We start from the raw sequence: 2,137 nt of genomic DNA, 5'->3' as shown, positions 1-2,137 counted from the left end.
ATGGTGCCAGTCACCTGCTCCGTAAACTCGGTCTACTCTCCAGGCCCCTCATTTTTTTGTTTGTTTTGTTTTATAAACCAGGAATGGGATCTGCTCACTCCTCTTAGAATTCGTCAATTATATTTGAACTCTTATTTGTATTTTACATGTTGGGAAAGTGAAGAGGAGAAGATATAAATAACTTTTTATGATACAATGTACTGTAACTTTGGTACCATTATATACATATTCAGTTATTGGTTCCTACTAAGTGAGCCTTGTGATCATTGGCAAATCAGTTAAACTCTCTGAACTGCCTTCTTCACTGATAGGTGAGGAATGCTGTTCATTATATCAATATGTCCTACAAAATAGAAGTAAAATACAAAATTATTTGGCATCCAGCAGGTACACAGCAAATTTTGCTCTACAAACAACCTGTGGGACATTTGCATACATTTTAATTGCTATATTTCAAACCATATAAAAGTCATCTCTGATAGAAATCGCCATTGGATGCCATGGTGGGGAATTGGGAAAAGTAACTACTTTTGACATATATCTTAGTCCATCTTCTGCTGCTATAACAAAATACCAGAGTCTGGGCAATTTATAAAAATGGAGATTTATTTCTTACAGTTCTAAAGGCTGGGAAGTCTAAGAGCATTGCACTGGTAAGGGCCTTCCTGATGCATCACAGCAGGAATTGGAAAAGCAAAAGAACATGTGCAAGACAGAGAGAAGACAGAGGCTAAATTTCATCCTTTCATTAGGAATCCACTTCAGTGGTAATGGCATTAATCCTTCTGAGGGCAGAGGCCTCATGATCTAATCATAGCCCTCATAATCTAACCACCTCTTTTAATTGCCATCATAATGGCAATTAAATTTCAACATGAGTTTTTAAGGGGACATTCAAACCATGTAGCAACATATTACCAAATTGTATATACATATACACACATATACACACATAAACATAAAAAAAATTTATATTTGTATTTACCTACTTAGACTATATTAACAATAGATTGCATAATCCATAATGGCAACATTTTGTATGGTTCTTTAGAATGGGAACGATGACAAATTTTTTTAACAGCCCTCAGCTACTTCTGAAGTACCATGTATTTGAAACAATGGATGTGCTCCTATAAACATTGGGCTTGCTTTCTAGAGTTTGCAAGTCAGTTTAGTGTGAGAAAAGAGATGCAAATAAGATGAATCAATATGCAGATGTTTGTTTAATATTCTATAACTTGTGAATTTTAAACAGGCAGTCCTCTTTAGCAACCAGCCAGGTTTAACTGAACCTATAACATTGGTAATATCAGTGGTGTAGTGTATGTTTACCATGTGGGAGGTTCTATTATAAGAGTTATTTACTACTTACGAACAGCCTATGACAAGACACCATCAGTATATCTGTTTCACTTTAAAGGAAATTAAGAGATAGAGAGTTTAACTAAGTTGTCCAAAGTCACACAGCACAAGCTATCTGACTCCATAGCTCAGTAATCACTATGATACATTTTGCTTAGGCTCTTAACAATATGTAAGACATTTACATGTTTCAAAGATTGAAAGGTAAAGGTAATATATAGAATAAAAAATTGATTTCTCTTCCCTGTCTTTTAGCCATTCATGTCACCTTGCTGTTGCTAATAAAACTTTTTGTATGTTTATATATACACTTTCCAGATATAGCAAATGTTCCTTGCCTTTTTTTTTTTTTACAAAAATAGAAGCATACAATACACGCTGTTACGAATTTGTTTTTATTTTTGAGGGGGATGTGTGTGTATACGTGTATTCTCAGCAGTATGTCATGGAGACTGTTTCATAGCCATGCATAAAGACATTGTGTTTTCTTTCTGCAGAACTGGATGAACGTAATTTAACAAGTCCTCTGTTCCTAGACATAAAGTTTGCATTGAATTTATTGTTTTTATACTTTATGCAGAATAACCTTGTACACACGTCACTTGTCATTTGCTTTCCAGTGCAGAGTTTTTAGGATCAGCTTTATTAAGAAATAACTGACACATTATAGACTGCATATATTTAAAATGTACAATTTGATGGGTTGTGACATATGTATATAACTGAACCTCTAATGATGATAAAATAATGAGCATATCCATCAACCCTCTAGATT

This window comes from Homo sapiens, chromosome 9, assembly GCF_000001405.40.
Source record: "Homo sapiens chromosome 9, GRCh38.p14 Primary Assembly".
In the NCBI taxonomy this organism is placed as follows: Eukaryota; Metazoa; Chordata; class Mammalia; order Primates; family Hominidae; genus Homo; species Homo sapiens.
Note: the sequence above shows the minus strand (reverse complement) of the source record.